This window comes from Homo sapiens, chromosome 10 (genome assembly GCF_000001405.40).
Source record: "Homo sapiens chromosome 10, GRCh38.p14 Primary Assembly".
In the NCBI taxonomy this organism is placed as follows: domain Eukaryota; kingdom Metazoa; phylum Chordata; class Mammalia; order Primates; family Hominidae; genus Homo; species Homo sapiens.
In genome coordinates, this window is record NC_000010.11 from 84,194,338 (window position 1) to 84,220,096 (window position 25,759).

At 51.3% G+C, this 25,759-nt stretch overlaps 1 protein-coding gene across 7 annotated transcripts, besides 7 other annotated features; it reads left to right on the forward strand.

Annotated features, from left to right (window-relative positions):
• Positions 96–225: a silencer, noted in NCBI's record as "silent region_2550". NCBI's record gives its function as "represses an Ori minimal core promoter by ATAC-STARR-seq in GM12878 lymphoblastoid cells {active_cell/tissue: GM12878}" and the evidence as "EXISTENCE:reporter gene assay evidence [ECO:0000049][PMID:35858748]".
• On the forward strand, positions 200–25,284 carry CDHR1 (cadherin related family member 1). Of its 7 annotated transcripts, none has more exons than NM_001171971.3 (17): positions 200–478; positions 1,157–1,252; positions 2,168–2,313; positions 3,449–3,499; positions 4,695–4,784; positions 6,264–6,350; positions 7,470–7,583; positions 8,643–8,786; positions 10,190–10,268; positions 11,490–11,590; positions 13,837–14,040; positions 14,392–14,544; positions 16,664–16,828; positions 17,311–17,378; positions 17,842–18,070; positions 18,754–19,011; positions 24,742–25,284. In NM_001171971.3, the coding sequence occupies exons 1-17, from the start codon at positions 424–426 to the stop codon at positions 24,937–24,939; spliced, it is 2,238 nt and encodes a 745-aa protein (NP_001165442.1). In that variant the 5' UTR covers positions 200–423; the 3' UTR covers positions 24,940–25,284. The 7 variants fall into 7 exon arrangements, with proteins under 7 accessions (NP_001165442.1, NP_149091.1, XP_011538640.1 ...); NM_033100.4 differs by lacking the exon at positions 24,742–25,284 and adding an exon at positions 19,745–24,357; XM_011540338.2 differs by having other exon boundaries at positions 200–1,252.
• Positions 296–415: a silencer, noted in NCBI's record as "silent region_2551". NCBI's record gives its function as "represses an Ori minimal core promoter by ATAC-STARR-seq in GM12878 lymphoblastoid cells {active_cell/tissue: GM12878}" and the evidence as "EXISTENCE:reporter gene assay evidence [ECO:0000049][PMID:35858748]".
• Positions 8,955–9,455: an enhancer, noted in NCBI's record as "H3K4me1 hESC enhancer chr10:85963048-85963548 (GRCh37/hg19 assembly coordinates)". NCBI's record gives its function as "activates a minimal SCP1, AML or CMV promoter by ChIP-STARR-seq in primed H9 embryonic stem cells {active_cell/tissue: H9 hESC(primed)}" and the evidence as "EXISTENCE:reporter gene assay evidence [ECO:0000049][PMID:30033119]".
• Positions 9,456–9,956: an enhancer, noted in NCBI's record as "H3K4me1 hESC enhancer chr10:85963549-85964049 (GRCh37/hg19 assembly coordinates)". NCBI's record gives its function as "activates a minimal SCP1, AML or CMV promoter by ChIP-STARR-seq in primed H9 embryonic stem cells {active_cell/tissue: H9 hESC(primed)}" and the evidence as "EXISTENCE:reporter gene assay evidence [ECO:0000049][PMID:30033119]".
• Positions 19,922–20,445: an enhancer, noted in NCBI's record as "H3K4me1 hESC enhancer chr10:85974015-85974538 (GRCh37/hg19 assembly coordinates)". NCBI's record gives its function as "activates a minimal SCP1, AML or CMV promoter by ChIP-STARR-seq in primed H9 embryonic stem cells {active_cell/tissue: H9 hESC(primed)}" and the evidence as "EXISTENCE:reporter gene assay evidence [ECO:0000049][PMID:30033119]".
• Positions 19,922–20,528: a biological region, named in NCBI's record as "H3K4me1 hESC enhancer GRCh37_chr10:85974015-85974538".
• Positions 20,339–20,528: a silencer, noted in NCBI's record as "silent region_2552". NCBI's record gives its function as "represses an Ori minimal core promoter by ATAC-STARR-seq in GM12878 lymphoblastoid cells {active_cell/tissue: GM12878}" and the evidence as "EXISTENCE:reporter gene assay evidence [ECO:0000049][PMID:35858748]".

Here is a 25,759-nt window from a genome sequence, read left to right on the forward strand (position 1 = left end):
AAGCCCAAGCCCCACCAGGACTTAAGTACCCTGGGAAAGCCTCAGGACAACTTGGGGGAAAGACACTCCTGTCCCCCATGGTGTCCTCCTGTCCAGGACTGGGGGCCGCCGGCAAAGGGGGCGTGGCGGGCGGGGAGTCCTCTTGTCACGCCCTCCTGCCCCCGCCCGCGGCTGGGAGCCTGTCGCTCCGCTCTGCGCCGCTAATTGGTCTCGTCAGGCGGCCGGCAGGAGCAGATCCGAGCCGTGTCATCCTCTTAGCGCCCTCACGCCACCCGCCGCTCCCGCCCCGTGCCCCCTCCCGCCGCGGCTGCAGTCGCCGCTACCCCCATTGTGGTCTCTGCCCTCCCCGCGGGCCCAGGGCATGCTCCGTGCCCCTGCGCCCGGTCTCGGCGGCGGCAGGCGACACTCCGCGCCGGCGGAGACATGAGGCGCTGCCGGTGGGCCGCCCTGGCCCTGGGGCTGCTGCGCCTCTGCTTGGGTGAGTGGCCGCTGGGCCGCGCTGGCCGCGTGGATGGCGAGGGAGATGGGCGCTGGCGTCACCCAGGTGGCCAGAGGGACATGGTCCTGGACCACTTCCAGAGTGGGACTCGGGCTGGTGGACGGGAGCGGAGAAGTCCTTCCATCTTCCTGGCCCATTCGGTAGTGGGGAGTGGGGTAGCGGAGTAGTGGGGAGCTCCGGGGCGCTTCTCCAGAGCTGGCATCCTAGGGCCCCAGGGTTTGGCGCCCGGACCCCCGCTGCTCTCCGCTTGCTGGGAACCAGAGCTGTAGGCTTGGTGGCAGCTCCGATGCTGCGTGGGGCAGGAGATAGTGCCCTGACTCGCGGCTTGACCTTGGCTGGGCTGGGGCACTGCCCCTCTCCGAGCGCGGGTGCAATCTGCCCATTGATGAAGGAGGGGTTGGATTGCTACCTGGGTTCTAAGCGCCCACATGCTACGTGTCCCTGACAAGCCCGAGCCCACCGGGGGCGGAGTGGGGGTCAGGGGCATCCTCTGGGCGGCGCCCCAGTGGGGTCCCTCGGTGCACTTGGGTTGGGGAGGCGGAGCGCCCTCCTGCCCAGTAGCTGGGCCTGACGCGGGACCGCGCTGGTGCGAAGCTCCCTCCTGGTGTCTGGGTGTCCTTTGCCTGGGTGTCCGTCTGTTCTGTGTTCTTTTTCCAGCTCAGGCCAACTTCGCCCCGCACTTCTTCGACAACGGGGTCGGCAGCACCAACGGAAACATGGCTCTGTTCAGCCTCCCAGAGGACACCCCTGTAGGTGAGTAGCCCTGGCACCTGCTCCCGATAGGTCTCCCTGAGGGGTGCAGGCAGACTTAGAACACAAAGTGCCCCAGGCACCACCCAAGTTGCTGCGCGCGCCCGGGGGCTCCTTGTTTGCTCTCCGAATTCCCCTGGGCAATGGCAGGAAAGAAGGTCATTGCTGCCATGGCGACTTAAGTCTGGCCAGTCCTGGAGACCAGGGCTCCCCCCCACAGACAGGGTCGCCCCGCGAGGCAGGCAGCTACAGCTGCCCCTTATGGCTGTGTGACCTTGAACAAATGTATTTACCTCCCTGAGCCCCAGGTCTCTAGGCTTTAAAACGGCCTAAGAACATCCAACTTGCTGAGATATGCAGAGAGAGGGGAGGAGAAAGGGGAGATTTCACACTCCTTCTCCCTCACTTTGTGGGTAGTGGGAACCCGGGGAAAAGGGAGAGCAGAGCAAAGTAGGCACCTGGCTCAGAAATCCCTGCAGAACCAGGTCCAGGCATCGGGGACAGTGGTGCACTGTGGGTCACCCCTCCTGCCTTAATGGCTGCTCCCATTTCCCCTTCCCTGTACCCAGGAGCCCCTCAATCTTGGATCCTGAGAGAGGAGTTATTACCAGGCTGAGCAGAACATAGGCACTACAGTTAGGCACGGCAGACCTGCACCTGCTCTGTAACCCGTGTTATAGATTACAATCTGGAAAGTGGCTGATCATCACAACCACCCGCTGTGAAGAATAAACATACAAAGAGGGAAGCAGCCAGCAGGGGTGAGGCCAGCAATGAGCACCAAGTTCAGGGCAGTACCTTTGGCACTGAGTTGAATAGTCACTTTATAAACAGCTGAATCGTTGGTCCTGAGCATCTGCCACTTTTAGGAAAAGTTGGGTCTCAGATTCTATGTCTCTCCACTGTGTTTCCTTCCAGGCTCTCACGTATACACCCTGAATGGGACAGACCCTGAGGGAGACCCCATCTCCTACCACATCAGCTTTGACCCCAGCACTAGAAGCGTCTTTTCTGTTGACCCCACTTTTGGAAACATCACCCTGGTTGAAGAGCTGGACAGAGAGGTATGGGGAGGTGTGGGGAGTGCTGCGGGGCCACTGCCTGTAGACAGACCTCGGTGGGCTGAAGTTCCCCTGGAGCACATTGGTTAGAACCTCTCCACAGAGTAGGGGATGAGGGGGCACACCCCAGGCACATCCACTCTGTGAGATCTCTGGGCCACTTCCCATCAGCAGAGTGGGCTTTACTTTCATGCTCCTCCTTCACACAGAGCGAAGAGTGGGCTCCTTTAACGAGCACCTGCCAGCCCTGCTAATCTTTTAAGCATGTTCCATTAAAAATAAATCCGTTTGCACTTTGAGGTTTCTGAAAGAAACCTCACAAAGTGATTTTTCAAGCCTGTCCTGGGAGAGGCACAGGAACTCAGAGCAGGTCAAGGCTGGAAAGGGTGGTTGGCAGTGAGTCTGAGTTTGGCAGAGCTCCTCCACTCTACACACTTGAGAACTTGCAGGCAACAGGGCATGGGCTTTTTCAGACCGCATAGCAGCCTGGTGTGTGGCTAACTGGACCTCAGCTGTGGGGATGCTGCCAGCTCGTGACAGCCTCCACTAGCTGCAGGACAGGGTAGAGAAAGGAAAGGGAGGTCTCAGGGACTGCTGTGGGGACACAGCAGTGGAGCCTGACTGTGCTGCCAGTACCCCACTCCCTGGCACCCGCGGGATCTGGCAACATCCGATACCCTTCCCCATTGAGGTCTCACCATATCCTGGGAGCACTGAGACACCATGGATGTGAGCCTCTGCAGAGCCCTGGAATGTGGAGAGGTGTGGAGAGAAAAGGGGAGAAAAGGGAAAAGAAAGAGGAAAAGTCTTTATGGGACCTTGAGCACACTAAGGTCGACATCTCGCCTCACTGTGGCAGGAGAGTATTTTCTGTTGGAGCCCCAACAGACCCTCTGGGTCTCTGAGTTTATAAGAACCCCGGACACAAAAGTCCCAAAATAAGGTCTCAAGCATGGGGGGAGGCAGCTTTCTACTCTGCCAGGCATGCTGTCACCACCACTTACCCTGCTCCAGGGATCTATTGGCACGCCCAGACCTCCTCTGATGGGTGCGTGGGGCAGGGAGAGCTCCATCCAGCCACAGGGGTCCTATGGCGTGTCAGACTCCTGGACACTCACTCAGTCCCTGTGCTTCACAGAGGGAAGATGAGATTGAAGCCATCATCAGCATTTCTGATGGCCTGAATCTGGTGAGTGCACGTCCAAGGCAGTCCCTGGCAGCCTGCAGTATTTGGGCCTGAGAAGGGTGAGGCTGGCACGATTCCTCCCCAAGCCTTCATGGGGGCTTTTCTGCAAGTTTAAGCTAGGGCCCAGCAAGACCTGCCCAAAGTGCCCACAGGAGAGGGCTGCAGCAAGGCCAGGGGGAAGGAAGGAAAAGAAGGAATGGAGAGATCAGGCTCTCTGAGCTGAGCTTCTAATGGGTCTAACCCACATTCCACAGCATCTCCTCAAACTTGCCCTCCCCATCTGCTTCCCCCACCCAGGTCTTGCCCTCCTGCTCAGTCACCTGAGCTCAACACCCCACAGCAACCACTTTCTCTCAGCGATCATCAGTGCTCACTGGATAACTCAACAAACCCCAGGGGCTCACTGGCCTCCAGGCTCTCCGACCCCAACTGCCTCTGAAGTTGTCACTATGGAACAGTCAGATCTGCCCACTCTGAGGCTGGGAAAGCACTAACAACTGGCCTCCGCCACTGGCGGGATGAAAATTAAGCTTCTGCCTGGTGTTCCAGGACTCCTCGTTGGGCACCATCTGCCTCACTGCCTTTTCTCTCACATCCACCCCACCCAGGCCATAATCTAGCCATAAATCTACTTTCATCCTCAGCTCACCATGCATTTCACTCCTCTTTGCCTTTGCACATACAACCCCTTCTTCCTGGCACAACTTTCTACCTCTTTCCTTCTGGCAAACTGCCTCATGGATTAATTCTCACTCCTCTAAGAAGCCCACCTGCTCTCCACCACCACAGCCCAGGAACTCTCAACCCCATCGGATGCATTTACACAGGCCATGTGTGTGCGCTGGTGCAGTGCAGGGGCCCCGCCCTCAGTGCCTGGCATACTGCTGCTATCACCTTGAGGAGATCATAAAGTGTTTTTTAATATGCTGATCTTTGCCCTGATATCCCAGCCACCATGACTACTGCAAAATAACACATCATCAGACAGTCTTCTGCCTCCAGGATGAAACACAGTGTTTGGCACTAAGAGGCTGCTTAATGTTTATTGCATTAATGAATAAAAGAAGGAAGAGAGAGAGAGAGAGAGAGAGAGGAGGGATGGGCAGAGACGTGTACATTGGAGTGATAGAGGTCGCTATCCATTCATCCTTCAGAAGGTCTCATTGCACTGGCTCTTGACCCCTCTGCCCCTTCTCAGGTGGCCGAAAAAGTCGTGATCCTGGTGACCGATGCCAATGATGAGGCGCCCAGGTTCATCCAGGAGCCTTATGTTGCCCTGGTTCCCGAGGTAAGTGAGGAGCTGCTAGAGGGGCTGATTTTCCCACCCAGGCCCATAGCCTACCCCTGGGGCTGCCCTGTGGCCTGGCCATGGCTCACTGCCCTGTGGAGAACCTCTCTGTCACCACCTGCTCCCTCCAACATTCGCTTTTATTCCAAAGGAATGTTCATTTGCTTTTTTCCATTATACATGTTCAGTGTAGAATTGTGAAATGTGTAGAAAAGTAAGAGAAACTAGAGTTTTCAAAATCACCCTCGCTGTCTCCAACTTGAGACATTGTTAAATTTTGGTGTATTTCCTTCTAGTCCTTTTTGTCATTATAGAGTTTTGTTTTGTTTTTTTCTGTTTGTTTGGCATAGTTGTGATTATACTAAACATATGCTTCCTATATCCTATTTGCACTTAAGTTATAACATAAGCATTTTCCTCATTAATTGTAAAGTTTGGGTAACTATCATTTTAATAGCTTCCATAAGTGAACAGTCTATCATTTACAGAATCATTGCCTGATGTTTGGATATTTAAGGTGCTCTAAATTTTGCTATCATGAGACACATCAACTTCTGAGCATCAATTTGTTTTTCATTAATTAGGATTCTTTCCTTAAGATACAGTTCAGGATTTGAAATTACTGCATCAAAAGCACACATGCCCACAGGGTGTTGCCAGATTGCTTTTCCAGAAGGCACCTGTTTGCTCCCTCCTGCAATGGGAGGATTTTTCTCCTCTGCCCCTTGACAATACTGAATTCTCAAAGTTTAAAATGTTTGCTAATTCAGGCTGGGCACGGTGGCTCACACCTGTAATCCCAGCACTTTGGGAGGCCGAGATGGACAGATCACCTGAGGTCAGGAGTTCGAGACCAGCCTGACCAACATGGTGAAACAGTCTCTACTAAAAATACAAAATTAGCCTGGCATGGTGGTGGGCACTTGTAATCCAAGCTACTCGAGAGGCTGAGGCAGGAGAATCGCTTGAACCCAGGAGGCAGAGGTTGCAGTGAGCCAAGATCACGCCATTGCACTCCAACCTGGATAACAAGGGCGAAGCTCCATCTCAAAAAAAAAAAAAAAAAGTTTGCTAAGTCACTAGGAAAAAGATGTCTCATTCTTGCTCTAAAATGTAGGTATATGGTCCCTGGTGATCCTAAATATGTCTGTGGTTATGAGCCATCTCCTCCTTTTTGAATTGCTGTTTCATAGGTAGACCTTTTATCTGTTTGGGGTCTTGGTTTTTTTCTTCTCCCTCTCTCCTTGAGCACATCCCCCAGCCCCTCACCACGTCTTTTTGCTCCAATTTCCCTTTCCCTCTTTCCTGCACCCTCTCTGGGCCCAGCCCCCACTGGGTGCTCACACATTTTATCCTCAATTGTTCACCTCTTTTTGACACTTCACTCCCCGACCCCACTGCTGCATGCCCCTATGCCTCTGTCCCCCTGAGAATGCTGTCACTGTCTCTGACCCTCCCCTGTGGCTGTGACCCCCTCAGGACATACCTGCTGGGAGCATCATCTTTAAGGTCCATGCAGTGGACAGGGACACAGGCTCTGGAGGGAGTGTCACCTACTTCCTGCAGGTAAGGCAGGACACACAGGACCTAACCTGGGGCTGGGCCGGAGGGGACACCTAGATGGCCCCTACCTCCATCGCCCCAGGCCCTTAGGTCGGTGCCTCTATGATTCCCGAGAAGTACATGAAGGGTTGGGATGGGCAGGAGGGGATGTGAGAGGGACAGAAGCCTTCTTCCCCTGATGGGCCCATCCTGGCGTCCTCTAAGTCAGCCTGTCCCCTCCCTCTTCCAACGTCCCCAGGACCCTCAGCCCTCCACATCCCCAGCCCTTTCCCCAGGGGCTGCCACATGGGTGGAGAACCCCGTGTAGGCCCAGAATGGTCAATAGAAAAAAGAGCAGAAGAGACAACACTCAAAAGAAGCAGAGCTCTGATTCCCCTAACAACACAGGCCCAGAAGTCCCCTGGACTGCACGGGTGCTGGAGAAACCCCACCCCTCACCACTCCCGTGACCTTCAGCGCGTTATCTAACTTTCCCAGCTCAGTTTCCTCATGTATCACATGGGAGTGATAAAAACACATCCTTGTTCCATTGTTCTGAAAACTACATATGTGTAAAGTCCCCAATAACAGCACCTGGCACAAGCGCCTGACACTACCCAGCCAGAAGGGCCCCCAGGGACCCTACCAGAGGCCGGTGCTCCCTGCCTGCCTCCTTCAGGCTGCACACCCTCTCCCCCGATGCCAGGCTGCCTGGGACTGGCCCGCAGTCACTTGCTTGGTGTAGGGTTTGAAGGTCCCAACGTTTCTCTCCTTCACTGTGACTTTTAACCCCTGGCTCCCTCTGGGTTAGATTACTCCGCAGACATTGCCATCTGCTGGACCCTCCAGGCCAGAGCTAAGCCCAAAGCTGAGCCCAAGAAAATTTGCTTTCCAGCTGAGCAGGAGGAAAAACAAAGGCCCAAAAGGGAACCTTGTGTTTTTCACTGAGGGTGTGGGAGGGAAAGCCCCAAGTCCTATGAAGGAGAACCTGGGACCAGAAAAGCTGAGTGCTCTGAAGTAGGAACCTCAGCCCTGAGGTCCTGTAATGAGGGGCAGTGAGGACCCCCTTCAGAAAGCAGAGCGGGCATTCCTGGGGCTGGCCTGCATTCTTGCTGAGGTCCAGCTGCCCCCTAATTCTTATAGAACCTGCACTCCCCATTTGCCGTGGACCGCCACAGCGGTGTGCTGCGCCTCCAGGCTGGGGCCACTCTGGACTACGAGAGGTCCCGGACCCACTACATCACCGTGGTCGCCAAGGTAACACAGCAGGACAGGGGAGCATCCAGTGTCTCCTCAGCCCTTGGGTTGGAACCAAGTTAGGTTCTACAGGGGAGTGGGAGCAGTTTGGAGAGCAGGAGACATGATGGGCGTGGGGAAATAGGGAGCAGCTGCTCGGAATTTTTCCTGCCTGGACATATTCTCCAGGGAGGCTGGGGTCTGTGGGCTGTGGGAGGGCATATGCCTCCTCGAAACTAATGGGCCAGGATCCCCCAGGTAAGACCAGGTGGGATGGCCAAGAGAATGGCATCCCCCTCAGATCCTCAACAGCATGGCCTCTGGGCACCTCCCTCTCGCTGGCCAGGCTTGCTCACCCACCTCCTCCTCTCTGTGTGCCCAATCACCCCTTCTGAGCCTCAGTTTCCTCATCTGCCCACCCCTGAAGCTCAACTAAGTTCCTCATATTTCTGAAGTGTGTGGTGTGGGAAACATTGGAAACCAGCAGGTGCCCACCAAAGCTTCTTCCCCCACAAAGAGCGCAAAACCCTAGCAGCCCCTCTAGGCCCAGCACTTTCTTTTGCAGGCAAGCCCCTGCTGGTCACAGCCTGGCTTACAGGCCATCCCACTGCAGCCTGTACCAGGAGGCCCGAGTCAGCCTCGCCTGCCCATAGCTGCACGGGCTGGGCTGGTTGCACATCTCCATTATGATGCTCAGTGCGGGGCCCAAGTCCTGCTGTTGTGGGTCCCTGACACTCAGCACAGGCCAAGCACAGAGTAGATCCTCAGGAGGTGCTTGAGGCTTGGTTTCTGGCTGGGAGGGGGAATTTAGCTCTGAATGCCCCCTCTCCTGCCACTCATCTGATATGATTTCTCTGAAGAGAGAACTAACCCCACTTGCAAAGGAATGGTGGCACTTTAACATTCCCAACACTCCTGTGAGAGAAGAATTATCTCCGGGTGACACAGAAGCAAACAGAAACTTGGAGAGGACAGCTGGCCTCACAGCCATAGGTGGCAGAAGCCAGGTTTTCACGGATTCTGTCCAATTCCACATCTCAACTTGTCTTCACTCTCCTGTGGCCTCCGATTCTTCTGCAGGATGGCGGTGGGAGGCTTCATGGGGCTGATGTGGTGTTCTCAGCCACCACCACGGTCACGGTCAATGTGGAGGATGTTCAGGACATGGCCCCTGTCTTCGTGGGCACACCCTACTATGGCTATGTGTACGAGGACACCCTTCCGGTGGGTGGCTGTCCCCCTCAGCCAGCGATCCCTCCAAATGCCTCCTGCCCTGACCCTTGTGATTTTAGGGACCCCCTGCTGGAGATGGCTGGTCTGGTCCCGGTTGCCCTCCTCACACAGAGGCCAGCTCTGGACTCACCCAGCCTCAGGCCATGAACTGGCCCTTTTGCCCCCAACTAGACCATGAGCTCCCCATGGGCAGAGACCAGGCTGGAGCCAGGCCTCGCTAGGCTACAGCTTAAGAACTCTGTGCAATTGAATTGCTTTCTCAATTTGCGTTTGTCTGATTATTCTTGACTTTTTTTTTTTGGAAACGGAGTCTCGCTTTGTCGCCAGGCTGGAGTGCAATGGTGCGATCTGGGCTCACTGCAACCTCTACCTCCTGGGTTCAGGCAATTCTCCTGCCTCAGCTTCCTGAGTAGTTGGGACTACAGGTGCACACCACCATGCTCAGCTAATTTTTTGTATTTTTAGTGGAGAAGGGGTTTCACCATGTTGGCCAGGCTGTTCTGGAACTCCTGACCTCAGGTGATCCACCCGCCTTGGCCTCCGAAAGTGCTGAGATTACAGGTGTGAGCCACCGCGCCCGGCCTATTATTGACTTTACAAAGCAAAATGAAACACTTTTTGAGGACCCAGTGGTGGAGACGGGCTCAGAGTGAGGGAGAGAGATGCCGGACTGCTCTGGATGGGGGCTGCAGGGTGGGCCAGCGTAGGCCCAGGCCATCCCACTGAGGAGCTAAGGGGAGGAGGTGGTGCTGAGGGACAGGGCTCAGGGTAGGCTCCAAGGGAAGAGGCAGCACCTGGGCTGGGTTAAGAAGTAGCCTGGAGTTGACCAGAGAGAAAGGCTTGTGTAGGGGGGCTTAAGAGGGGACAACAGGCAGAAGTCAAGCAAGACTTATATAGTTGGGGCAGCCCTACGCCCAAACCCTTCCAGCAGCACCAAAGGCCCACAGGATAAAATCTTAATTCTGGGACCTCGCATTTGAGGCCTGGCCTCTCTCCCACCTCTTCCTTCATGCACCTCTGGGGTGGGATGAAAGCAAAAGATGGAGAGGGCAGTGAAAGTAAGGCTAGAGGTTAGGGAGCAGTAGAGGCAAGGGCTGAGTGTGGTGTGTGGGCCAGGAGTTGGTGCAAGAGGCCTGAGAATCCCTGGGCAGCACAGGTACTGACCCCTACTGGTGAGAAAGAAGCAGGGGCTCAGGCTATCCCTCCAGCCCTGGAGGCCAGTGGGTGCTTCGATCCCCCTGCAGAGGAGAGTAGGGCCATGCTCCACCGCCACGTAGAGGCCTGACCCTTTCCTAGGTGGGGGTAGCACCTCCTTTTCATCATGGAGACATTGTTTGGGGAGGGGAGGGTCCCCATATTGCCCATCAGGCAGCGGCTGTTCCTGTTTCCCCGAGGGCTCGGAGGTACTGAAGGTGGTCGCCATGGATGGAGACCGGGGCAAACCCAATCGAATTCTCTACAGCCTTGTAAATGGTGAGTCTGAGCAGCTTTGGGGGCTGCAGCTTTGACTCTCTAGGTGACCAGAGCAAGGTTCCTCAACCTCTCTAGATTCCAGCTCCCTCACCTGTAGGACCAGGATTACAAGATGTATGGAGAGGAAGGGCTGTGTCCAAGACAAGCAAGTCTCTGGGTTGTGTGCTTCGGTCCCTGCCTGTCATGATATCCAACAGCCAAGAGAGCATGGGGCAGGGGCGCTGAGAGCAACACGGAGGTGCTAACCCATGCTCCTCTCCCCCTGGGTATTTGCTCCTTGATGGGAATGCGTGGCAACATTTCTCACACTTTTTAAGTGGCTATGTATTTTCCTCATTCTTTTTAATTGTTATCCCACAGCATATAGATGAATTAAATGAATCAAATGCATTGGTGATATGGCATCTCCCTAGTGCTAGCCCTATATATGGACAAGAAAACTGAAGTTCAGAGAAGCTGAGTAGGCATCCCAAGTTTCCATCATTGTATTTGAACCTGAGCCTGCTAGCTCCACAGTCTGTGCTCTTCCCACAGCTGGGCAGCAACTGAGCCAGATGAGCTGTCCCTGGGCCAGGCCAGGGCATCGCATCTGGTGCCTGGTACCAGAAGTGTGCATGTCTATATGCCCCGGCCTTTCTCTAGGACATGCCTGTGCATACTCACTTTCCAGCAGCTCACATGTGGGCTGCCAGCCTCCTTTCCCCAGCCTCACAGGACCTCAGCTGCCTTCCTTCCCATCACCACTGCAAACCTTTACCCAGTCCTTGAGCACCCACCCCATCTCCTGCCTGTCCCACTCCACACCCTCCCTCTCCTCTCTTTATTCCCTCCCTCCTGTCCCTTCTTTCCCCCCTCCCCTTCCATGTCCGTCTCTCACTGTATGTCCTCCTGCTTCCTTTCTCTTTTCTTCACACACACACACACACACACACACACACACGTGCACACATGCACATATAGTATTATGCATAAGAAAAGGGACACAGTATGGAATGTGGGAGCTGGACAGAAGTGAGTTCAAGTCCCAGATCTGCACTAACTGTGTAGCCTTAGACAAGTTACTTAGCCCCTCTGAGACTGTTTCCATGTTGACAAGACACAGATGACAGGATTCCATTCTATGAAGACTTCCCTAGGCAATGCAGGACGATCCTGTGGCACGACTCCCCTGCGCCTCCCTGTGGTCCTGTGCAGAACTTCAGGGTGCATCTCCCTTGACAGGGAACGATGGAGCCTTTGAAATTAATGAGACATCTGGAGCCATCTCCATCACTCAGAGCCCGGCCCAGCTCCAGAGAGAGGTGTATGAGCTGCATGTACAGGTACCCTCCCTCTAGCTTTGTCTTCCCTGCCCACCTTTGGCCCTGGAAGTCTATAAAGGTGAAGACACCCAGGCCCTTTTTCCTGGGGCCCATAGTCTGGGGAGGGGGCTAGATGTTGTTCTAAAGAGCACCTGCACCAGACATGAATTCACAAACAGGGAGTCACAGAAAGGCAAGAGGAGGTGCAACTGAAGCAGCAATGCCTGAGCATGGGTGGGATCCTGCAGGTGCATGCTGCCAGAGGCGGGCATTGGGTGGGTGGGGGTGGAGTGAAAGCATTCCAAGACAGGAAAGTGCAGCAAGCCCAGGCTGGAGGGGAGAGAACTGATATATTGGGGGAACAACAAGGAGTCAGTTGAGGCCAGAGCAGAGAAAGATGGGCAGCCTGGAGAAGGAGGAAACGTTGGACTCCCAGGCTGGGGCCAGAGGAGCAAAGGTCCTGAATGGGAGGTATGGATCTGTCGCTAGAGCCGGGCATGTGACCTGTGAAGTCACACAAGGACTATACTTAGGAGGATCCCACACTAAGCTTAATGCTCGCTGTTTGCTGTCTTGGAATTCTTAATAATTTCACCAAGGGATCCCATATTTTTATTTTTCGCTGGGCCTGCAAATTATGTAGCTGGTCCTACCCAAGAGCAGTAAGGAGCCATTGGAAGGTTTTCAGCAGGATTACAGCCACTTGAAAAGTTCACCTGGCTGCTCACCAGACCAGTGGAGTTCCCAAATTTGGAGATTTGGGCCAACCAAGATTTTCAGGATCCACTCCCGGGCATAGGAATTCAGTGTGTTTGGGGCAAACCCAGGAATCTGCGTATTATAAGCACCCAGGTAATTCTGGTACCAGTCCCAGCCAGAATTTGAGAACTCTGGTCTCAACTTGGGTTCAGAGGGAACTAGATGAGAGGTAGAGCCATCGGCCAAAGTAACAGAGGAAGACAGCCTGTGGGGCTGAGGGTAGGTGGGATGGAAGAAAGGGACAAAATGAAAAGTATGCATGAGGCAGATTGCACAGAATGAGGAAATTGCCTGATCTTGAGGGAAAGGGATGGGAGAGGGATAGATGAAGCCCAGGTGGTCCCGTGCCGTCAGGAGTACAGGACAGCAGGCAAGTGAAGTAGGTGAGGAAGGATGCATTTGAAGGCTCGAGGGACATGCAAGTTCAAACATCAAAACTTGGGCATACAGGTTTGGAATTGTGGGAGAGAATGTCAACCTACAGGTAGCTGTGGAAGGCATGGGAGGGAATAAAAGCACCCAGAGGAAGAAGAAGAGAGAGGACAATTGGCCAAGCACAGCTGCGGGAGCTGTGTGAAGAGGCTGAGAGTGAGGAGGAGGAGAGGGGCAGGTAAAGGAAACCCAGGAGGGATCAGAGAGGTTGAGGAGAAGATGTAGAGAGCAGAGTCACATTGCTGTGGGAATAGAGCACTTGGGAAGGAGAAAGAGTAGCAGTGCCACATACAGTGTGGAAGTCAGGGTGAAGAATCTGAATGAGGGGTGGGATGAGAATCAAGAGGGATAGCAGTGAAAGTGTCAAGGAGTGGAGTCCAGGTAGGGTTATTTTAGGATACAAAAGACCAGAGCATGCTTACAGAACAAGGGAAAGGTGGTCTTGAAGAGGTTCATAGGATATCTGCCACATGGTTCACAAGGTACCTATGGGATCTTTGCCCTGGCTTTGTAGGCTGTATTAGTTATCAGCTGCATAACTAATTACCCCAAACTTAGTGGCTTAAAACAATACACATTCATATCTCATAGTTTCTGTGGTTCAGGACTCCAGGCTCAGCTTGGCTGGGTCTTCGGTCTCCAGGTCCCTCACATGGTTGCAATCAGATTGTCAGCCAGGACTGGGGTCTCATCTGCAGGCTTGACTGGGAAAGGGTTGGTTTCCATGCCCACCCAATTATTGGCAAGACTCAGTTCTCTGTGAGCTGTTGGACTAAGAGGTTCAGCTCCTTGCTGGCTGTTGGCTAGAGGTCACCATTAGTCTCTGTTAACTGTAGCTTCCTGCTTCATCAAAATCGGCAAGAGAGAGAGTTCACAAGACAGACGTTACAATCTCTTGTCATGTAATCATGAAGTGATAGCTTGCCATCTTTGCCATATATTATCAGTTAGAACCAAGTTGCTAAGCCAGGACACACTCAAACGGAGGGGATTATACATTCTGCAGGGGAGGTAGGAGCTGGACCATATGAAGGGTCCACCTGCCACACAGCCATAGCCACTTGTCCCCATCCCAGGTGACTGAAATGAGCCCTGCGGGGAGCCCAGCTGCCCAGGCCACCGTCCCAGTCACCATCAGGATTGTGGACCTCAACAACCACCCGCCAACATTCTATGGAGAGAGCGGACCCCAAAACAGGTTTGAGCTGTCCATGAATGAGCACCCACCCCAGGGAGAGATCCTGCGGGGCCTCAAGATCACCGTCAATGACTCCGACCAGGTGTGTGGTCCTGCCCTCCGCTCTGCCTTCTCACAAACGGTATGAAGCCAAGGTCCCAAAGCTAAGTGGGTCTGCATCAACCTGCTCTGCGTATGTAGCCGGGACCAGGTGGGCCACAAAATGAATGAAACAAGAAGTTGTAACCAAGGGGGAGAGGAGGGAGAGTAACCAATCAAAGACTATCTGCTTAGCCTAAAGGCACTCACAGTCCATTCACAAGGAAAAGTCAGATGCAGAAACTCTCTTAATAATATCTCCCAGGGTTAAGGGCACGTGAAGACTTCTATATAGTATGATTATGAATTTCTATCATCATTCATCTTCCTTGTTTCCACTCTCCAAATTCTCTAGGGAGCCAATGCCAAATTCAACTTGCAGCTGGTGGGACCCAGGGGCATCTTCCGAGTGGTTCCACAGACAGTCCTGAATGAAGCCCAAGTCACAATCATTGTGGAGAACTCAGCTGCCATTGACTTTGAAAAGTCCAAAGTATTAACCTTCAAGGTAGGTGGTGCCCTGAATTCACTGCCCTGAATGGGAGGGTCCCAGGAATTCATACCAGCATCTTGGTTCATTCCTGAGGGGTCTCTTGTCACTCTCTGCCCTTCCTGGCCCTACTCTTTTCTTCTCCAGCCCTCTGCCCCTCCTGCAGATTGCTCACAGATCCAGCCTCACTGAGCTTCCTGGCTTCCACACCACAACCAGCCCCAGGAATGCAGGTGGTGGTGTGGGATCAAAGGAAAACTACCAATATAATTTGCCATGTTAATAGATTGAGTAAACTATTTTATTATCAAGATAGATGTTTTATCATATGCCTTGACATTTGTCATCTCTTCTGATAACAATCTTAGCTGAAGAGGAAAAAAATACTTCTGTGATATCATTTGTAATTATGTAAAATCATAAATGTATTATAAAATGCATATCATATATGAACATATATAATATGTTAATAGGAAAAGTAAATACTTCACTGACACTATTAAAATTATCTTATTTATAATTATACACATATACACATACTCTCCTATAGCCTGCATCATGCTTAAAAGTGAAATACTATTATAAAAGCAATCCATGAAATTAGGAACAAAGCATGGATGCCTGCTATCACCACTACTATTTAACACAATTCCTGAAATAACATTGTTCCTGGATAAGGAAAGGAAGTAAGAAGTTCAAACTTTAGAAAGGAGGAAAAAAGACAGTCATTATTTGCAGGTGATGATTGTTTGCTTAGAGAATCTGAGAGAAAAGACAAAAAAAAAAAAAAAGAAACTCTTAGAAACTCAGCAAAATTGCCAACATGGCTGATTACAAAGTTAATGCACAAAATCCAGTAGTTTTCCTACATACAAAAAATAATAAGAAAATATGGGATAAAAATTATCTTTTACAATAACAACCAACACATAAAATTTGTAGGAATTACCATAAGAAATATGTATCATGCAAATGATGAAAAATGCTAAATTTCACAAAGAGACATAAAGAAAGAGATGTAAAGGCATACCTTGTTTAAAAAGTTCAAACTCTCCTTAAGTTAATAAAGAATTTGGTTGGGCGTGGTGGCTCACACCTGTAATTCCAGCACTTTGGGAGGCCGAGGGGGACAGATCGCTTGAGCCCAAGAGTTTGAGATCAGCCTGGGCAACACGGCAAAAGCCCATCTTTACAAAAACTACAAAAATTAGCCAGGCATTGTGGTGCACGCCTGTAGTCTCAGCTACTTGGAAGGCTGAGATGGGAGGATGGCTTGAGCCTGGGAGGCAGACGTTGCAGTGAGCTGAGATAGTACCACTGCACTCCTGCCTGGAAATAGAGCCAAGACTCGTTTTTTTTGTTTTTTTTGTTTTTGTTTTTGTTTTTTTTGTTTTTTGGTTTTGTTCATTTGTTTGTTTTGAGACAAGAGTCTCACTCTTTCCCCCAGGTTGGAGTGCAGTGGCACAATATTGGCTCACTGAAAACTCTGCCTCCCAGGTTTAAGTGATTCTCGTGCCTCAGCCTCCCGAGTAGCTGGGATTACAGACACACATCATCACACCCGGCTAATTTTTGTATTTTTAGTAGAAATGGGGGTTTCACCATGTTGGCCAGGCTGGTCTCGAACTCCCGACCTCAGGTGATCCACCCGCCTTGGCCTCCCAAAGTGTTAGGATTACAGGTGTGAGCCACTGCGCCTGACCTATTTTTTTGTTTGTTTTTATTTTTTTAAAAAAAGAATTTAATGCCCCCAATTAACTCTTCCCTAGAATGTCCTTTGGACAGGTGGCAACAAGGCTTGACAAAATTAAACTGGTTTTTATATGGGCTAATAAACTTATAAGAATAGTTAAGACAATTGGAACTGGAAAGGATATGCAGCTCAGTGGAACAAAATAAACTGACCCCAATACAGATGGGAATGATAAGAAAGCTAGCATTACAAGCCAATTGACGGGGTAGGGGAAGATGCCAGGCCTTAGAGGTGACCCTTACAGGAATAGCTGGTTGGCAGCTGCGAGGAAGATCGGGAGACACGGCAGATGGATGCCACATCAGTCCTGGGGAGATGAGGTGGGAAGGCTCTCTGCAGCATGAGTGCCTACCCAGACAAGTCCCCATTTTCCCCCCTTCCCAGCTCCTGGCTGTTGAAGTGAACACCCCAGAGAAGTTCAGTTCCACAGCGGATGTTGTGATCCAGCTCCTGGACACCAATGACAATGTCCCCAAGTTCGACTCCCTCTACTACGTTGCCAGGATTCCTGAGAACGCCCCAGGGGGCTCCAGCGTGGTGGCTGTCACAGTGGGTTGGGCACTGGCCCAGGGACTGGGTGGGATAGGAGGCCTTGTGAAGCCAGACAAATCTGGAAGGTCATTGCAGTTTGAGTGGCAGAACCCACACTCATTAGCTGTCCTTGGACAAGCTACTTGCCCTCTCTTAGCCTCAGTTTCTTCATCCATATGATGGGTATTACAACACCTCACAGGACAGTAATGAGGATATATGTGTAAACAACAATCACAGGGCATGGGACCCATCCCCTCTTCCTCATTTATAAAGGAGGGATGAGTGTTTTCCAGATCTAAATCTCTTGGCTCTTTCAATACTTAAAACTTCTTGGAGGAAAACTAGGGATCCCGGGCAGGTCTCTCCACCAATTTCTCCCCAGTTGGGCAAACCCCAAATCCCCTTGCTTTGTGGTTGAAAGCAACCCTCAGGGCATGGGAGCTGCCAACATACCCTGACAAAGAGGCACGTGCCACCCAGGGCTCTTTCTCTTCCAGGCTGTGGATCCAGATACAGGACCCTGGGGCGAAGTGAAATATTCCACCTATGGGACTGGGGCAGACCTGTAAGTAGATCCAGAATCCAGGACAGGGCCTTGGGCAAGGGGATTGGAAGGCTGAGGGTGGAGGAGGTCTGTGGCAGAGGCAGGAGGGGCCTGGGAGGGACAGGAGCCTGGGTGAAGAGAAGTGGAGAGAGGCAGTGGAAAGCTGAAGCAGAGGGTGAGGAAGTTCAGGGCCCAGGACCTCAGGAGCCAGGCAAGCAGGGCTGGCTGGGGAGGGGGCAGGCCATAGGAAGAGAGAAAGACTATAACTGGAGTTGCTAAGCTGGATAGTGATAGATGGGTGAGTCCACATGTGGATCTACCTCACTTAGATTGCAAGGATAGGAGGGAGCAGGTAGGACACTTTGGAGGAGCTGCATGACACCTCACTCCTGCTTCAGGAGGCAGCTCATTATTGCAGGCATGTGTATGTATGCACATATGTGTATATGCGTGCACACCCATGCCTATGTGCTCTGCCTGGCAGCTTCCTGATCCACCCATCCACTGGGCTTATCTACACCCAGCCCTGGGCTAGCCTGGACGCTGAGGCCACTGCCAGGTACAACTTCTATGTGAAGGCAGAGGACATGGAAGGCAAGTACAGCGTAGCTGAGGTGTTTATCACACTGCTGGATGTCAATGACCACCCCCCTCAGTTTGGAAAGAGCGTTCAGAAGAAGACGATGGTGCTAGGGACCCCAGTGAAAATTGAGGTAAGTTTTGGAGGCAGCTGAGCTCCCCTAAAAGCCTGGGTCCAGCAGCTCCAAGAGATACTGAGGCATAAGAATTTCATTGAAGATAAAATTTTTTGGCTTCCCACCATGGACAAAGGACTTTAAGACATTTTGTATATCCCCATCCCCACCTCAACAGAGAATTAAACTCTGAGAAAGAAGATATTGCTATTCAACAAATGAAAAAAACAGGCCAGGTGGGTTAAGTGTTTGGCTTGCCTTCACATAGCTGGTCTGCCTGCTTTTCAAAAGAGTGGTTTTCTCACCGCACTTTGTCATTTTGCCAATGTGGCAAAAAGGATGAACTCTGAAACCCAGCAGACTTGACTTTGAATCCTGACTCCCTTTCTTATACCTCTGCATCCATGGGAAAGCCACTTTGCATCTAAGCTTTCATTTCTGCATCTGTAATATGGATTCACCAATATTTGCTTCCTAGACTTGTTCTGATAATGGAATCGGCTAGCCCATGTGTAAGACCTACGTAAACCCTGGCTTATAGGAGAGCATGCATTCTGTTCCTTTCCCAACTCAATCCTCTCAAAATAGGATCAGGACCATTTCCCATCAACCCAGCAAGCCCCATATGACGTGCTGATTTAGCCAGAGTACACAAGGATTGTCCCCAAAGCCCAGCTCTGTCTGTCTCTCCCTGCGCACAGGCCATAGACGAGGATGCAGAGGAACCCAACAACCTGGTGGACTATTCCATCACCCATGCAGAGCCCGCCAACGTGTTCGACATCAATTCCCACACGGGGGAGATCTGGCTCAAGAATTCCATCCGCTCCCTGGATGCCCTGCACAACATCACACCTGGAAGGGACTGCCTATGGTCCCTAGAGGTGCAGGCCAAGGACCGGGGCTCCCCATCCTTCAGCACCACAGCCTTACTCAAGATTGACATCACAGATGCTGAGGTGAGTACAAAGCCATGGTCAGGAAAAAGGGGTCAGCAGGCCAGCTCAGACCTCTCTGCAACGTGGGCAGAGCGAGAAGGACCATCTCCAGGCTTCCTCCAAAAGACACTCAACGTTATCAAAGGCAGCCTGTGCCATCAAACACACAGTCTTTGGAAGCGGGTTGAGTTTCTAGTTCAATACTTATTAATGGTGTGACTTTGGGCTTTGCTAAGCCTCTGTTACCTTTCCTGTAAGATGGGATAAGGATGCCTCCTTCACACGGGTGTTGAAAAGCAGAGTGAAGTCATTATGTGTAGCTCTCAGCTCAGTGTCTGGCAGAAAACTAGTCACTTAAGAGACTCCTGATACATCTGGGCAGATGGACCCCCTCCCCCACTTGCCACAATCAAAGGCAAGTGATCTCCTACCATCTCAAGGACAGACTCCAGCTAAAGCAGGAGTTCTGAATCCAAAAGAGGTTGCTCGCATTGCGTTCTGTCTGAGCATATTGTACCAGAGAGTGGTCTGCACCATGCTGGGTCTGCGTGCATTTTTCTGGAGAACTGCATGCATCATGCTCTCTCTGTGTGCATTTTCCTGGACAAAAGCCCATAGTGCCTATCAGATTCTCAAAGGGACTCCTGACTCCAGAAAGTTTAAAAACCATTAGGCTTAAGGAAGCACATACCTACTCTGTACTCCAGGGACCAGGTGGGAACAGCTGAGTGCAGGGAGTGGCTTTCTCTTTCAGACCCTCTCCCGGAGCCCCATGGCTGCCTTCCTGATACAGACCAAGGACAACCCCATGAAGGCCGTGGGTGTGCTGGCCGGCACCATGGCCACCGTCGTGGCCATCACTGTCCTCATCTCCACCGCCACCTTCTGGCGCAACAAGAAGTCTAACAAGGTCCTGCCAATGCGGCGGGTGCTCCGCAAGCGGCCCAGCCCTGCGCCCCGCACCATCCGCATTGAGTGGCTCAAGTCCAAGAGCACCAAAGCCGCTACCAAGTTCATGCTCAAAGAGAAACCTCCCAATGAGAACTGTAACAACAACAGCCCAGAAAGCTCTCTGCTCCCGAGAGCTCCGGCTCTCCCTCCACCACCCAGCGTGGCGCCCAGCACTGGCGCAGCCCAGTGGACCGTGCCTACTGTCTCTGGCTCTCTCACTCCGCAGCCGACCCAACCCCCGCCAAAACCCAAAACTATGGGAAGCCCCGTCCAGTCAACTCTGATCTCTGAGCTCAAGCAAAAGTTTGAGAAGAAGAGTGTGCACAACAAGGCTTACTTCTAGTGTATGCCCTATGACCCCCCATCTTTCCTCCGCCCCTGACCCCCACCACCCTGCTGCTCGGACTATGCTCCCCTTCCTCTGCTCCTTAAGGTCACTGACCCCTGTTTTGCACAATGGTATAATCCCCACTGTCCTCATCTCTACCGCCACCTTCTGGCGCAACAAGAAGTTGCGCTCTGACAGGGCTCTAGTCAGGGCCTTGGGCAAGACATTGGGCTCTAGGATGCAATTGGCAAATACGTCCCCGTTACTCAAATCCTTGGCACTACTACAATGCCCTCCATTCTTCAGGGCTGAGAATTGACGAGAAGCCAGCTCACCCATCCCAGACCTCACAGTCCCTCAGGTTCTACTGGGATCTCATCATCATCCTTAGTCAAGCAGCAGGGCCCTGGCCACGTGGAGCAACACTGACTAGAATCTGGATCCTGACGCCTGCAGCTGAGAGCAGGAGCAGGAAAAGGAGGCTCAGCACTGTCTCAGGCTGGAGGTCAGCGAACCTCGTGGGCTGTAGGAAAGCAAATGTAGGTAAGGGGAGAGCAAGGATGCACAGAAAACACACTGACTGTGGGACTGTGCCAGGATGCATTTGGAAAGATAGAGCATTCTGTCTGGGCAGAGACTGTGGACCCTGGTATGCCCACGTGGGACAGAGGACACAGAGGTGGAAGATTGATCTTGCCAAGAGTGAGGGCAGATGTCTCCAGCCAGGACTGCCCTGAGCCGCAAAATGTCAAAGCTGGAGCTATAGAGGTAGCCCTAAAGGCAACTAGAAGAGCATCAGGGCTGCTCTCTGAGGAGCTGCCCCACCAGCCATCCTTGAAGAGACAATTCAGGGCAGTTGATGAATATCAGGGCTGAGATGTGGTGAGACTTCCGTTTTTATCCAGCTCTTTTGCTCACATCGCGTAACCTTGGGAAAGCTGTTTAAAGTCGCTGATCATCCTCTTCCTCATCTGTAAATGAAGAAAGTAGGCCCTGTCTACCTCACATGCAGGTCTAGGGTGAGGATTGAAGAAAATAGTGGTGATGAGGGCTTTAACCAAGTGCAAAGCGGCATGAATGCAAAGTATTTTTCTGCAGCCCAGTTCTGTGGGTGCAGCTCTTCCAGAAAGTATTAGGAGCCTCACATCTACTCTGCCAAGCGCCCCAGCAGGCACTGTGCTGGGCTTAGGGGCTACCACTGGATGATGGCATTGCCGTGACTCACACACCTCTACTTCTGTTCTTCCCTCACTCCATCCCCGCTACCGTCCTGGCCAGCTACCGTCAGAGAGAACCAGAGCTCCAAGTCTTTAATTTGCCAAGATGAAGAAAATGAGTTCTCAAGGAGGGAATGCTTTGCTTGAGGCCACACAGCAGGTTGGTAGCAAAGATCTTGTCTAGCCAGGGCAGCCCTTATCAGCTTGTGACAACCTTCCCCAGGACAGAAGTCATACAAGGCCTCTGGGGTTAATACAAATAGGTTGTGCCCTGCTTTAAGGAACCTGCTATCAGGAAATCTACATGTGTGCACAGAGAGAGAAAAGTAGAACAGTTCTTTGCATTTGGCTCTACTTACTAACAACCCCTCTAGAATACATTGGTGATTTCATTTAAAGAGATTGTATGCATTTGTGGCTTTCCTGATTTCTGAGTCTGTGTTTGGAGGTGTTACTGAGATGTGCCAGTGTGCAGAATCCTTGCTGGGGTTTCTACAGTCCCCAACGTGAACAGTATTAAGCAAGAGGTGGACTCGAGCAATCCAGGAGCCCAGACTGAGCAAATAAGTACTTTCCAGCCTGTGTTTCAGGAGAGGACTGTGCTGGATCATGCTTGCCCTCCACAGGGAATACAGCATCCTTACAGCTTGCATGCAATCAACCTCTTTTGTAAATGGAAAATAAAGTCTGTTACCCAAAGGCCATGCTGATCCCCTGCTCCCTGCTTTCATTTATGTTTGCTGACCTGTGGAGACCAGTCTTTCTGACACACAGTGAAGCTCAACTTGCCTCCTGGCTGCTTCAGCAGGTGGATCCATTCTTCGACCCCCAGATGTGACTCTAAAGAAGGCTGAAAATTTTTGTCCAAATTGCCATGCAGATATCTTGAACAGCAGGACATTTGCAGGCCTTGTCTACTGGACTTTTCTCCCAAACAGGACAAGCCCAGGCAGGGCTGCATGGAGAGGAATGGAACCTGGAGCTAGAATTAATTGCCCACTCTCCCACCCTACCAGTGCAGCCCGGCAAGGGCAGGAATTGGGAGGCCTAGGGTGGGCATGAAAGCTTGGGAAGCACTGTCGTCTCTCAGACAGGCGTCCTAAAGACCTCTAGGCTGGAAGCTTGGGCTTGCAAGTGGATCCGGGACCGAGGGTGGTCTCTTGGACAACCCCAGGAACTTGGACCAAGGCAGAGCCAATCTTGCAAACTGGCCATGGATGGGGAAGTGCCCGGTAGCCAGCATGAGCCACACTAGGAAAGAGGAGGAGGGTGCAGCCAAACTTAAGGCACCGGCAAGTGTTGTCAGCACTGGAGGAGACCCCGCCAGTGGGGTGAGGCCAGCCAAGTCCCTGTGTTACGAATGGTGGGCCAAGGGGCTGTCTGCTAGGTCCCAGTAGGACAGGCAGAGCTCCAGGCTGGCACCATGGTAGGCCTCCAGGGAAAGAGCTGGGAGGCAGGAATGGCACACTGGGCAGGCTTGCCCATTCCTGGCCCTGAGAATGGAGCTGTAGCCTCATGGACAATAAATGGATGTGACACCAAATACTCTGCAGAGTCATTTTCCTCCTGCGGCTGAGCTCAGATCTTCCAATCACGTGAAATAACAAAGTCCTTTACAGTTTGACAGCCCTAGGTCTGAATTCTGGTTCTGCCATTAATTGTGACTTTGGGCAAGAGGTCAAGTCTCTCTGGGCCTCACTTTCCTCATTAACACAGGGTGCAAAGTATGGTTGCAGAGAGGATGAAAAGATCTAATATATGTAAAGTGCCTAGCACCGGCTTTGTATCTACTTACACAAGCTCAGTAGACACTTGCCGTGACTGTGGCCCACATACTAGAACACCATGTCCTGAAAGAGAGGACCCCCTCCATGCATCCTCACCCCCCAGGATGTTTCCACCCACCTGTAGGTCCAGAAGCTTTTACTTCATGCTAGAAAAAGAGAAGAGAGTGGATCCAGAGGGGAGTGGAGGACAGGGCAGATGCCACAGCATCTGTGGCCTGTGTAGCCGGCAGCCTGCATTTGGGCGTTGACATTCCAGGGGAGTTAGGAACAATGAGAGGTCTCTAAGAACTTGTGGCACTCTGTCCTCAAGCAGCTGTCCCTCAGAATCCTGCTAGAAAAGTGTGATCAGAGCTGGGAAGGAGCCACCATGCTCTGCTTCTCTAAGGATTTCGGTGATTCTATTTTTAGGGACTGAAGGCGTTGAGGGAATCCAAGGCCAGTCCACCTGCCAGGGGTGTTGGCATCTGTTGACAGGCAGTGGCACATCCTGACAGTCTTCAAGGCCTTGGCCACCAAGGGATGGAGAGGGAGAATGGAGAAGATGCCACATGAGGAATGAGGCAGGAGACTGGCATGTGCCACATGGAGGACCCCTTAGGAAACTCACAAACAACCTAGGGAGGGGTTCTCTGAAGGGCCTAGTTTCCAGAATGAGGCGGTCATGGCTTAAGCGACCATCATTTGATCAATAAAGCAGAGTAGCAACAGGCTGATGTTGGGGACATCGGTTTGATGTTATAAAATCGTGCACATGTACCCCTTTTGAGGCCTGAATGAGGTTCGGTTATTTATTCATTTCTCAATAATTTACTCAGCCATTCCTAGGGTGACAAGTTTGGAGTATATCTTCTGTGCCAGGCTCTCTTCTAGGTGTTAGGTGTATGTCTCTAACAAGATAGAAGGAAAGAAGAAAAGAAAAAGAACAACATTCCTCTCTTTAATTGCTAATCGCCTGGGCCTAGGGAGTCTTCATTTTAAAAGCAAGTAGCCCTGCTTACAAATGTCTCCTCAATCAAAGGCATTTGCCTTAAACTTGTATGGTCTAAACTCTAAATAAATAAGCTTCTCAAGGGCATGACAACTATATCGGAAACTGTAGCATCTTTTCAACATGAATTAAACAGAACATGTGAAGGATATTAGCCCAGATATCATGTTATTACATATATATATTTATAAGTATACACACATATGTAGTCTTAATAAGATGTGATATTCCAAATGGCCCTATGTGCTGAGTCACATTCAAAGAAAGCACAAACTGATGTAGATGCCTGAAATGATGGTAACATTTATTATTGTGACATTTACTGAGGGTTTACTATGTGCCAGGTATTGTTCTGAGAACTTTGTATGTTAAAAAAAAAGCCTCGTATAATTACCAGAATAACCCTATGAGGTAAGGACTGTTATTATCCCCATTTTACAGGTGAGAACACTAATGTACTATTATTATTCTATTTTATAGGTGAGAAGACTAAGGTACATGAAAAATAGTAACTTCCCTGGTACAACAAAGTCAGTAAGAAAACCAAAATTTAAGCCCAAGAAACCACATTCCAGCCAGGGTCTGTTCTTGCATCCCCACTGCGAAATTGCCTTATTCAATCTGAGTAATGTGAATCTGTACTCTAGAGTTTTTCAAGGGGCAGCCCAAGCATCTTAAAAAGTATCAGATTCTCAGAAATCCTCCCTAGACCATTTTCCCTCTCCCTAAATTTCTATGTTTACAGAAGCAACTGAATACTTCCCTACCCACCAACATGCTCCTGGCTCTCCCCTGCACTGCTTGCTGCTCTTCCACAGCCCTTCTCTCATCCTGACCCCTCTGTCTCATGTGCACCACCAAGCTTCTTTTGCTTGGCTTGAAGGTCTGAACATCCACTCTCACCTTCATGGTAGCCCAGGCTATTTCATGATGGTGACACCCTCAAGATCCGTAGACCACTGTATTAGTTCGTTCTCATGCTGCTAATAAAGATACCCGAGACTGGGTAATTTATAGAGGAAACAGGTTTAATTGACTCACAGTTCTGCATGACTGGGGAGGACTCAGGGTGGAAGGGGAAGCAAACATGTCCTTCTTCACATGGCGACAGGAGAGAGAAGAATGAGAGCTGAGTGAAGGGGGAAGCCCCTTATAAAACCATCAGATCTTTTGAGAACTTACTCACTATCATGAGAATGGCATGGGAGAAACTACCCCCATGATTCAATTACCTCCTATTGGGTCCCTCCCATGACATGTGGGGATTATGGAAACTAAGATTGAAGATGAGATTTGGGCGGGGACATAGCCAAACCATATCAATCCCCCTTGATGCTATGGAAGGAAGTACAGAGAGGCCACAAGAAGTACAAGTTCTTTTCTTGCTCCAACCACTTTTCTTCAAAAATTTATCATAGGAAATTCCACATTAATAAATTATCTACTACATTACATGTATGTGTGTGTTTTACACATGTGCATATCTAAATATATATAT

What these genes read in the sequence shown, in the direction of transcription:
- CDHR1 (XM_011540337.2), top strand. Translation starts at nt 928, where the DNA reads ATGCTACGTGTCCCTGACAAGCCCGAGCCCACCGGGGGCGGAGTGGGG. An exon ending in CCCAGAGGACACCCCTGTAG is followed by an intron (nt 1,253 to 2,167) that starts GTGAGTAGCCCT and finishes GTTTCCTTCCAG; the next exon opens with GCTCTCACGTATACACCCTG. An exon ending in GTGTCACCTACTTCCTGCAG is followed by an intron (nt 6,351 to 7,469) that starts GTAAGGCAGGAC and finishes TAATTCTTATAG; the next exon opens with AACCTGCACTCCCCATTTGC.